The sequence below is a fragment of the Homo sapiens genome, chromosome 1 (assembly GCF_000001405.40).
Source record: "Homo sapiens chromosome 1, GRCh38.p14 Primary Assembly".
Taxonomy (NCBI): Eukaryota; Metazoa; Chordata; class Mammalia; order Primates; family Hominidae; genus Homo; species Homo sapiens.
Window position 1 is genome coordinate 92146881 of NC_000001.11, and position 12777 is coordinate 92159657.

Here is a 12777-nt window from a genome sequence, read left to right on the forward strand (position 1 = left end):
AGTTTGGGCAGTTATGAAGAAAGCTGCTAAAAACGTTCATGTTTAGGTTTTTGTGTAGAAAGGTGTTTTTAAGGAAAAAAATTAAGAGTCTGACTAGAGCATGTTTGTAGCCTCAGTACCAGCAGAAGTTAATTCCAGATAAAGAGTTAAATATAGAAAATAAATTTTGAATTTATCAAATTTTGAGTTGTATGTGTTCTGCAGTTTAGGTATATAAATTGGATTATCTTTATGAACCAAATATTTTTAGGCTTTGTAAATTGAAAAGGAATAAATATGGTGTTTTCCATCAATTTTAGCCTGTTCCCAGAACATTGACGTCTATACTAGAATGCCTGATTATTGCTCATTCAGTTGGAGTGGAAAGTCTTTTTGCTGACTGCATGAAGTAAGTTATGTTAAGTAGTGCTGATACTATTAATTTAGGGATTTTGTTTTTCTGTTCTTCTAATTTTGTGGGGAACTTTAGAGTTGGCCTGTTTTCTTGGACACAATGTAAGTAAGTAGCTTAGTGCTAAACTAGTTTCACCACTAAGTAGAATATTAATTTAGATATTACTCAAGTTACTTGGGATCATTTTATCTTAGCTGAACCATGGTTAATTATGTTAAAATCTGTGCACATGGATTTAAAATACATGTTTACAGGAAAGAGAATATAAAGTCCATTTTAGGGTTCATAAAATTAATAGTATTAGTCAGGTCATATATATGTACAGTTATGTAATTGAAAACCAAAATATTGACTATTATAATGAAAAACATCTTAATTTCTTTAACGTGGTATTCTTTTATTTTAACAGGTGGATTGTAAAGCATTTTGCAAGGTTTTGGTCTGAGAGAAGCTTTGCAAATATACCTCCTGAGATTCAGAAAAGTTGTCTTAATATGTTGATTCAGTCCTTAGTAAGTATAACCTGAATACTCTTTTGTGTGTTTGCCATTAAAAAGTTTATTCAATTTTGTATAGTACTTTCAGTGGTTGAAATATAAATGTAAAATATTGTAAAAGCAAGAGGCGTGAACCAATTCAGATAACCTAATCCTAAGATTCAGTTCCTTTGAAACCACTCTGCATACCCAGCTCATCAGTCAGGGTTGAAACAGAGAAGCAGAACCACTAGGATGTGTATATTGATTCATGAACAAAGCAGACATGGTGCCACAGAGAAAGGCTTATGCGTTGGCTCAGCAGTATTGACCCACTCACCCAGGTGGATCTGGGTACAACACTGAACTTCTCAATGGTACCATTCTTCAAGGGAATCAGCCATCTACCTGGTGGCAGGTTGATTACATTGGATCACTTCCATCCTGTAAAAGGCCGTGCTTTGTTCTCACTGAAAAAAACATTTGCTCTGGATAGTGATTTGCCTCCCTTGCTCATAATGTTTCTGCCGAAACCACCATCCATGAACTTACAGAATGCCTTATCCATTATCATGATATTCCACACAGCATCACTTCTGAATAAGGTACTCACTTACCAGCTAATAAAGTATAGAAATTGGGCCTTGCTCATGGAATTCACTGGTCTTAGAAAGATTCCAATCATCCTGAAGCAGCTGGCTTGATAGTATTGAGGAAAGGCCTTTGAAGACTCAGTTACAGTGCCAACTAGGTGGCAGTGCCCTGTGGGGCTGGGGGCAGTATCCTCCAGGATGCAATACATGCTGTAAATCAGATTTTGATTTATGCTATTTCTCCTCTAGCCAGGATTTATGGGCCTAAAAACCAAAGTTTGGAAATAGGTGTGGCACCACACACAATTACTCCTAGTGATTCAGTAGCAAAATTTTTGCTTCCTTTCCTCACAACTTTAGGCTCTGCTGATTTATAAGTCTTAATCCCCAAAAGAAGAATGTTTCCATGTGGGGACACAAGTATTGATTCTGTTGAACTGGAAGTTGAGACTGCCTTCCTGTAGCCACTGTAAACCCACTGGCAAAGAAGGGGAATTATTGATAGATTGAGCCTATCAAGAGGAAATTGAGTTGCTACTATACAATGTGGATAATGTAGAGACCATCTGGAATGCAGTACTCCCAGGCTCTATGAGTAAAATCAATAGAAAGCTATAAGAACCCAATTTGGGCAGTGCTGATGATTTTTCAGGAATAAAGTTTGGGCTACCCTTCCAGATAAGAAACTATGAACAGTGAAATACTTGCTGAGGGCAAAGGGAATATGGAGTGGTTAGTAGAAAAAGGTATGTAAAAATAACAGCTACAGCTACATGAGGAGTTATAGAAGTGAACACTGCAGTAGTTCTGATATAAACGTTCATATTCCTTCTTAATATGTTTGTCTATATATTAATCAAATATTTTTGTTTTCCTCCTACTGTCTCATTCCCCGTCATCTAATATAAGACATGTTAATAATAGTTAACTTTGTATCTACGTATTTAAGGTACAGATATCAAAGAAAACTGAATCAGATTGAAGAATGAACATCTCCTAAAAACAAAAAAAGGAACTCATATCCCCTCTTTTAGAAGGAAAGGGTTAGCATATTTGTTGTGTGGAGGGATAGTTGTATCATGTTAGATGGAAGCATGACTGTTACTTTCTCCATTTGGGAACTAAGTATGGTTTTAAGAGATGTATATAGTTGCCAGGTTGACAAGATGTTGACTCTGTAACATGTCAGTTTGACTAGGGTCAACTACACTTCGCAGAATTTCCTTCTTGTATGTTTCTAGTTAGAGTGGCCAAAAGAGACAATTTTGTGTGAAATTTGGAGGATGGGAGTGAAACAGCAGCTATTTTTGGCTTTTACACTAGGAAGGCTGGAACACTACTGCAATGTTCATTTACACTAGGAAAGTTATTTACTGGCTCACTGCAGCCAGATCTGTAACTGTTCTTCCTTGCCCTGTATCCTCCTTCAGCTTCTCTTACTCCGGGCCAGGTATATGTCTAGCTCCACAATGAAAGGCACCAGCATCTCCTGCAGGATACCCATAGCGTCCAGACTGGAGGCAGTAAGACTGACATGAGCCCATCCTTGTCAATTCCAGCTGATTCTCTTGGTGTCAGTTTGTTCTCACTCTCCCCAACATTACGTCCATCTTTCCTCTTCTCATCTGCCTGCCCTGTGGAATTCAAACTACACCATCAGATACAAAGGCTGTTTAAGCAGCCCCTACAGTTGTGTAAGGTCAACTCCCTGTAACAAATTTCTTTATACAATAAGTCTGCACCGATGTCATTGATGGGTCCTTGGAATCTTAGAATCTTGGAATCTAATTTGACGTTAAGCAAAACAATGTATAGCAAAACTAATTTTACTATAGACTAATGGATATGAACAAGAGTTAAGTTCCTATGGCATATTTCTGGTCACAAAAAGATCATCAGCCTTCTAGTAGAGACCCAAGACACTTCTTATATTGAATATTGAAATAATTGTGAGCTATACATACATTTCAGAAATATTAATAAAAACAAGATAAGTACCCAGTTTTTGGTGAATCTGTGAGTGGCAGTAATAGCAATGGTGGGTTAAATCAAGGAATAAATGTTTGCAAAGCAAAAATTGTAAAAAGCACCTCCTGCCACATGCAGTTCCAAAGCAATCACAAATGTGGCAGGTTCATGGAATGTTTTTATACTGCATCGCTTATTGTCATATATTTGTATGGTCACCATATACTTTATGAATTTTTACTTTACAATAATTTCTGTATTCATTCATTTTCCAACATGCTTTTTCTGGTTTCAGTTGTGGGTGGCTGGAGCCTGTCTGCAGCTAAGGACCCAAGGTTGGAACCAACCCTGGACAGGATACCATTCCAGCGCAGGGTGCACTCACAGCACAGAACACTCACTTATACTGGGACATTGTAGAGATGCCAGTTCACTAAATGTGCACATCTTTGGGATGTGGGAGGAAACTGGAGTGTCCAGAGAAAACCCATGCAGACATGGGGAAAACATGCAAACTCTACACAGACAATGGCCTGGCCAGGAATCCTTTTTTCCCTTATCAACATTATAATAAAACAACGGTAATCAAAATGACATTATTCACGAACCTCCTATGTATATATAAATACCTCCTAGTGGTCCCATGAACCCTGAAGGATAACATCAGACTGGGTTACATAGAAGATATGTCAAAATCTAACTGAGAAAATAAGTGTAAGATATCAGCTGGTGAGATACCACTACAAAAAGTAAATGTAAGGCTAGGCATGGTGGCTCGCGCCTGTAATCCCAGCACTTTGGGAGGACGAGGTGTGTGGATCACCTGAGGTCTGGAGTTCGAGACCACCTTGGTCAACATGGTGAAACCCCGAATCTACTAAAAATACAAAAAATTAGCTGGGCCTGGTGGTGCATGCCTGTAATCCCAGCTACTCGGGAGGCTGAGGCAGGAGAATCACTTGAACCCAGGAGGCAGAGGTTGCAGTAAGCTGGGATTGTGCCATTCCACCTCAGCCTAGGCAACAAGAACGAAACTGTCTCAAAAAAAAAAAAAAAAAGTAAATGTAAATCTGTGTTTTAGCTAATGAAGGACTGTGTTGTATTGTTGCTTACTGTTTTACATTAGTTTGTTGGTCAGTGAATAGTTAACAAATTATTGGCCCAGCTATAGTTCTGTTCAATAGAAGAGTCAGGTTCATTTCCTAATGTAGTAGTAGTACCAGTATTTTTTTTAAATTATTTTTTTTCAATAGCTTTTGGGATACATGCAGTTTTTGGTTACATGGGTGAGTTCTTTAGTGGTGAAGTCTGAGATTTTAGTGTACCCATCACCTGAACAATGTACACTGCACCCAATATATAGTCTTCTATCCTTCACACATTTTCCAACCTTCTCCCCTCCCTAAATCCCCAAAGTTCATTTTTTCACTGTGTATGTTTTTGCATTCTCATGGCTTAGCTCCCACTTATAAGTGAATGGAATATATACAGTATTTGGTTTTCCATTCCTGAATTATTTAGAATAATAGCCTCCAGCTCCATCCAAGTTGCTGCAAAAGACATTTCATTCCTTTTTATGGCTCAGTAGTATTACATGGTGTATATGTACCACATTTTCTTTATCCACTCAGTACCAATATTTAGTGGATTTTTTTAGACTTATAGAGCTCCACAAAATACTTTTTTTGTGAAATTTAGCATAAGACAGGTACTGTTGTCTCTACTTCACATATGAGAAAAGAGAATCAAAGAGTTAAGTGCCCTGTTCAAGTTCCCAAGACAGTAAAAGGCAAAACCTAGTCTTAAAACCAATTGCTACTATTCTAAATATAATATGATAAGTGCTCCATGTGAGCAAAGATTTTTTTTTTTAATGCGTGGGACTTGACTTCAAGAAACTCACAAATTGGTGGAAAAATAGGCATTTAAACAGCTAAGTAAAATACAGGTTAGACTATGATGAGTACAAGCATTAAGTTACATGTCAAATCTTTACCATTGTAGCCTCAGCCTTAGAACAGTGCCTAGCACATGTTAGCACTCAGTATGTATTGTCAAATAGGTAGGTAAGTGAATTGTATAACTTAGAATTCAGGTGTATACATAGAATCACACAGGTTAAATCTGACTGGAATAATAAGAGAATTAATTTGAAATGAACCTGGTTAGAGGACAATTTTAAAATAAGTAGGTTAGGGCATTCCTGAAAGACTAAAAATGTAACCAGGGATATGGAGACTAGGCAGTGTCAGTATTCTGCTGTAACTGGAATGAGAGAAGATGAGTCTGGGGACAGGCTAAAGATAGATTGGGAGGGATTTTAGCTGAGTATCTTGTTAACGAGTTTGATTTTTTTTTTTAAGCAAGTGGTAGGTATGTGATTTTAATTGAAGAATAAGCCCATCAAACTATGCCTCTCCCAATGCTATACTCTTTTATTTTGATTTTATAGCTGTAATTAGGTCCTTGTAAGCTTTGTGGTGAATACTTGACATTTTCTTTCAAGACAGATAAAAAGATAAACATCAGAACAGCCAAACATCCAGTCTGATCAATAGCCTCTGGCATCATGGGGATTAGTCTCAAAATTTGTCTTTGTGGATAATCAGGTTTTAAGAAACACTAATTTAACATATTTGTCATATTTTATTGTATAAGTAAAATATGTTTAGCTTTATTGATGGAAAACAGAGTATTTTAATTTTCTCAAAATTCGAAGTATGTTACCCAGAAAGAGCAAGCAGTCTTTTTTTTAGCAATAACCCCAGATTGGCCTTTTAGAAAATCTTATAATAGGTACATGCAATATTAATAGTGTTTTTTTTAAATAGTTCAAAATTGTTACATTTTTACACATTTGACACTAACTTAAAAAATGAATTTCATTTTAAAAAAATTTCTTGTGTGTTTGCATATCTCACAAAGCACTACTTATGACCATTTCTTCTTAATGTGACTTTTACCTGTGGGAAGTAGTTTATTTTATATATGAATTCTATCTGGCAATTCTAGTTCATTAGTATTACTTTCTATATATTATTCATCCTTTACTTATTTTATTTTATTTTGGAAAGAATATTTAACATGGTATCTATGCTCTTAACAAATTTTTAAGTGTACAATACAGTATTGTCAATTACAGGCACACAGTTGAACAGCTGATCTCTCATCTTTCGTAACTGAAACTTAATGCCCAATGATAGCAACTCCCCATTTTCCCCTTCCCCAGCTCCTGGCAACCACCATTCCATTCTCTGATTCTATGAGTTTGACTTGTAATGGAAGCATACAGTATTTGCCTTTTCTGTGACTGGCCTATTTCACTTAGGATAATGTCCTCAACATTCATCCATGTGGTCACATCTTACAGAATTTCCTTCTTTTTAAAGAATGAATAATGTTCTGCTATATGTATACACCACATTTTCTTTATCCATTTGTCTATTGGTGGACATTTAGGTTGCTTCCACATGTTGGCTATTGTAAATAGTGCTGCAGTGAACATGGTAGTGCTAATATTTCTTTGGGATCCTGATTTCAGTTCTTTTGAATGAATGCTGATGTGCTTTGGATGTTTGTCCTCTCCAAGTCTCATGTTGAAATGTAATCTCCAGTGTTGGAGGTGGGGCCTGGTGGGAGGGATTTGGGTCATGGGGGCAGATCCCTTATGAATGGTTTGGTGCCATCCCCATGGTGATGAGTGAGTTCTCACTCTAGTAGTTCACATGAGATCTGGTTGTTTGAGAAGGAGCCTGGAATCTCCCCACTCTGTCTCTTGCTCCCTCTCTCACCATGTGATGTGCCTGCTCCTCCGTTACCTTCCACTATGATTGTAAGCTTCCTGAGGCCCTCACCAGAAGCTGAACAGATGTGGGTGCCATGCTTGTACAGCCTGCAGGACCATGAGCTAATAAACCTCTTTTCCTTATAAATTACTTAGCCTGCAGTAGTCCTTTCATAGCAGTGCAAACAGGTTAACACAAATACCCAGAAGTAGGTTTTTGGATCATATGGTAGTTCTATTTTTAATTTTTTGAGGAACCTGCATACTGTTCTACATAGCAGCTGCACCATTTTGCATTCCTGCCAGCAGTGTACAAGTACTACCTATTCTCCACATCCTCACCAAAACTTGTTATCTTTTATTTTTTTGATCATAGCCATCCAAACAGATGTGCGGTGACATCCTATTGTGGTTTTAATTTGCATTTCCCTGATGATTAATGACATAGAACATCTTTTCATATACCTGTTGGCCATTTGTATGTCATCTTTGGTGAAATGTGTATTCAAGTCTTCAGCCAATTTTTAACAGTGTTATCAGATTTTTGCTATTAAATTGTAGGAGTTTCTTATATATTTTGGAATTAGCCCCTTATGACATGTATGGTTTGCAGTATTTTTCCCCATTCTGTAGATTTTTTCAATGTCTTGTTTTCTTTGCTGTATGGAGGCTTTTTAATTTGATGTAGTTTCACTCGTTTATGTTTGCTTTTATTGCTTGTCCTTTTGGTATCATATCTGTGAAATCATTACCAAGACCAATGTCATGAAGCTTTCTTCTAGGAGTTTTAGAGTTTCAGGTCTTAGGTAGAAGTCTTAAATCCATTTTGAGTTGATATTTGGGTATGTTGTACGATAAGGGTGAAATTGTATTCTTTTGCTTATGGATATCCAGTTTTCCCAGCACTGTTTGTTGAAGAGACTTTCCTGACCCATTGTGTATTCTTGGCACCTTTACTAAAGAGCAGTTTTATGTATGTGGATGTATTTCTGGGCTCTCTGTTCTGTTCCATTGATCTCTATGTCTGTCTTTAGGCCAGTACCACACTGTTTTAGTTACTACAGCTTTGTTATATATTTTGAAATCAGAAAATCAAAGTCACTCCAACTTTTTCCTTCTTAAGATTAATTTGGCTATTCAGGGTATTTTGTGGTTCCGTATGAATTTTAGAATTGTGTTTTCTATTTCTATAAAAAATGCAATCAAGATTTTGATAGAGATTGCATTGTATCCATAGATCACTTTGTGTAGTATGGACTTTTTAGCAACATTAAGTCTTCCAATCCATGAGTACTGCATGTCTTTCTGTTTGTCTTCTTTCATTTCTTTTTAAAATTTTTATCTGTCTAGCTGTTTATTTATGAGACAGGGTCTTGCTCTGTTGCCCAGGCTGGAATGCAGTGGCATGATCATAGCTCACTGCAACTTTGAACTCCTGGTCTCAAGTGATCCTCCTGCCTCAGCCTCCCAAGTAGCTGGGATTACAGGCATAAGCCACTGTGCCCAGCTGTGCCTTCTTTAATTTCTTTCAATGTTTTGTAGTTTTTAGCCAAGTCTTTCACCTTCTTAGATAAGTTTATTCTTAAGTATTTTACTCTTTGGTGCTATTGTAAATGGGATTGTTTTTCTAATTTCCTTTTCAGTCATTAATGTTGTTAGTTGAAATGCAACTGATTATTGTATGTTCATTTTGTAGCTTTCATCTTTACTGAATTTGTTTTAACAGTTTTTTGGTGAAGTGTTTAGAGTTTGCTATATATAAGATTATGTTATCTGCAAGCAGGGACAATTTTACTTCTTCCTTTACAGTTTGGATGCCTTATTATTTCTTCTTCATACCTGATTGTTCTGGTTAGGGCTTCCAGGACTATGTTGAATGGAAGTGGAGAGAATGAGCATCCTTGTCTTGTTCCTGATATTAACTTAAAAGTTTTCAGGGTAAACCTTGAGTATGATTCTAGCAGTGGGCTTGTGGCCTCTATTATGTTGAGATAATTTACTTCTATTCCTAACTTGTTGAGAGTTTTCAGTCATGAAAAGTAATTGAATCTTGTCAAATACTGTTTCTGCATTTACTGAGATAATCATTTGACTTCTGTCTATGCTGTTAATGATGTGGGTTGCATTAATTGATTTACATATGTTAAATCATCCTTGTATCCTAGGAATAAATACCACTAGTTGATGGTGAATTATCTTTATAATGTACTGTTGAATTCAGTGTGCCAGTGCTTTGTTGAGGATTTTAACATCTATGTTCATCAGGGATATTGGCCTATAATTTTTCTTTTCTTGTGGTATTCTTATGTGGCTTTGGTGTCAGAGTAGTGCTGGCCTTGTAAAATGAGGGAAATATTCCCTCCTCTTCAGTTTTTTGGAAGGGTGTGAGAAGGATTGGTATTAGGTCTTTCCTTTAACTAGCAGAATTCAGTAATGAAGCCATCAGTAGAATTCAGTAATGAAGCTATCAGTCCTGGACTTTTCTTTGATGGGAGACTTTTTATTACAGCTCAATCTCCTACACATTATCAGTCTGTTCAGATTTTCTATTTCTTCATGATTCAACCTTAATAGGTTGTATGTGTCTAGGAATTTATCCATTTCTTCTAGTTTACCTTGTTTATTGGCTTGTAATTGTTTATAACAGTCCCTTATGATCATTTTAATTTGTGTCATCTATTGTAATGCCTCCTCTTTCATTTTGGATTGTATAATATTTATTTGCATCTTCTCTGCTTTTTTTCTTAGTATAAAGGATTGTCAATTTTGTTTATCTTTTCAAAAAAGCAACTCAGTTTTGTTATTTTTAAAAAACTGTTTTTCTATCCTCTATTTCTGCTCTAATATTTATTTTTTTTTTTCGTTGGTTTGCTAACTTCAGGCTTAGTTTCTTTTTTTAGTTCCTTGAGGTATAATATAAAGTTTTTTTTTCAGATCATTTTGTTTTTAATGTAGGCACTTATTGCTATAAACTTTGCTCTTAGTTCTGCTTTTGCTACATCCCATAAGTTTTGGTATATTGTATTGTTGTTTTTGTTTGTTTCAAGATACCTTCTAATTTATCCTTTGATTCTTTTCTTTGACCCATTGGTTGTTCAAAAGTGTGTTAATTTCTACAATTTGTTTATTTTCTAGTCTTCTGTTGATTTCTACTTTTATTCCATTGTGTTCAGAAAAGATGCTTGGTATGATTTCAGTTGTCTTAATTTTGTTAAGACTTATTTTGTGACCGAACATGATAGATTCTGGAGAACATTTTGTGTGTGCTTAAGAAGAATGTATATTCTGCCCCTGTTGGTTGGAATGTTCTGTATAGGTATGTTAGGTCCATTTGGTGTATAGTGTTTTTGAAGTCCAGTATTTCTCCATTGATTTTCTGTCTGATGTATTCATTATTCTTATTTACTTATTTATTTATTTAGTTAACAGATGGAGTCTCACTTTGTCTCCCAGATTGGAGTTCAGTGGCACGATCATAGCTCACTACAGCCTCAAACTCCTGGGCTTAAGTGATCCTTCTGCCTTCCAAGTAGCTGGAACTACAGGCATGTGCCATCATCACTGGCTTTTTTTTTTTTTCTTGGTAGGGATAGGGTCTTGCTGTGTTGCCCAGGTTGGTCTCAAAATCCTGGCCACTCTTTTCCCAAGTGATCCTCCCATCTCAGCCTTCTGAGTTTCTGGGATTACAGGCACGAGCCACTGTGCCCAACATGTTGTATTCACTATTGAAAAGTTGTGTATTGAAAGTTCCTACTATCTTTGTATTGCTTTCTCTCTCTCTCTTCAGATCTATTAATACTTGCTTTATATATTTAGGTAATGTGATGCAGGGTGCATATATGTTTATAATTGTTGTATCTTCCTATCTTCCTGGCATATTCTTTTATCATTACATAATGTCTGTGTCTCTTGTGACAAGTTTTGACTTAAGGTCTATTTTGTTTGATATGGTATAGCCACTCTTACTCTTTTTATTACCATTGGTATGAAATATCTTTTTTTATTCCTTCACTTCCAGCCTAAATGTGTTGTTAAATCTAAAGTGAGTCTCTTGTAGACAGTATATCATTGGATCTTGTTTTTTAATCCACTTAGCTACTCTGTCTTTTGATTGGATAGTTTAATCTATTTATATTTTAAGTAATTATTGAGAGGAAAGGATTTACTATTGCCATTTTATTATTTTATGTTGTCTTATAGTTCTTTGGTCCCTCTTTTTATCTCCTGCTGTCTTTCTTTGTGCTTTATTTTCTTAATATTGATATACTAAATTTTTTTCTCTTTTTTGGTATAACTTCTATATGTATTTTGTTTATAATTACCATGGGACCTACATAAATATCTCATAGATATAACAGTCTATTTTAAGCTCAATCCACATACACAGAAACTCTACACTTCTCCCCCCACACATACACTCTGTTACTGATTTCACCATTTATATCTACCTATAGTACATATTCGTTAATATACTCTTTAGTTATAGTTATTTTTAATGCATTTATCTTTTAGCTTATATGCAAAAATTAAAAGTGATTAATTCAGTTGTAACAAATATACCACTCTAGTGTTGAATGTTGATAATGAGAGAGGCTGTGCATTGTGTGAGATCAGGGGGCTTATGGGAAATCTCTATACTTTCCTCTCAGTTTTGCTGTAAACCTAAAACCATGCTTAAAAAAATGAAAAAAAAAATTTAAGACAGGATCTCACTCTGTCACCCAAGCTGGAGTGCAGTGGCATGATCACAGCTCACTGCAGCCTTGACCTCCTGCCTCAGCCTCCCAAGTAGCTGAAACTATAGACATGTGCCATCACACGTGGCTAACTTTTGTATTTTTTGTAGAGAAATGGTTTCACCATGTTGCCTAGGCTTGCCTCAAACTCCTGGGCTCAAGCGATCTACCTAGTTCAGCTTCTGAAAGTGTTGGAATACAGGCATGAGCCACTGTGCCCAGCCAAAATCTTTAAGTGATTTATTCACTGCCATAAGTGATACAGTACTCTTCATAAGTGAATCATAAGTGATTCATTACTCTTCGTTTGTTTACATATATTTTTCTTTTCTTTCTTTCTTTCTTTTTTTTTTTTTCTGGAGATGAGGTCTTGCTCTGTCGCCTAGGCTGGAGTGCAGTGGCACAAACATGGCTCACTGCAGTCTCAGCTTCATAGGATCAACCAATCCTCTTGCTCCACAGCCTCCCAAGTAGCTGGGACTGCAGGTGCATGCCACCACAGCTAGCTAATTTTTTGTATTTTTTTGTAGAGACAGGGTTTTGCCATATTGCTCAGGCTGGTCTCGAACTCCTGAGCTCAAGTGATCTTCCCACCTTAGCCTCCCAAAGTGCCTGGATTACAGGCATGAGCCACCATGCCTGCCTTATATATTTTCCTTCACCAATGAGTTTCATATTTTCTTATGCTCTCATGTTGCTTTTTAATGTACTTTTGTTTCAACTTGAAGAATTCCCATTGGAACTCCTTTTAAGGCAGATCAACTGGTGATGAATTTTCTCGGCTTTTGTTTGTCTTTATCTTTGCCTCATTTTTGAAGGACAGTTT

At 36.3% G+C, this 12777-nt stretch overlaps 1 protein-coding gene across 5 annotated transcripts in view; it reads left to right on the plus strand.

The window, feature by feature from the left end:
* Nucleotides 1–12777, plus strand: part of BTBD8 (BTB domain containing 8) — a 104379-nt gene that overhangs the window by 66536 nt on the left and 25066 nt on the right. For all 5 annotated transcript variants that reach the window (XM_047418461.1, NM_001376131.1, XM_047418464.1 and 2 more), the window contains exons 8-9: nt 300–388; nt 804–906. In XM_047418461.1, the coding sequence (XP_047274417.1) occupies nt 300–388; nt 804–906 (192 nt within the window). The remainder of the gene's footprint in view (nt 1–299; nt 389–803; nt 907–12777) is intronic.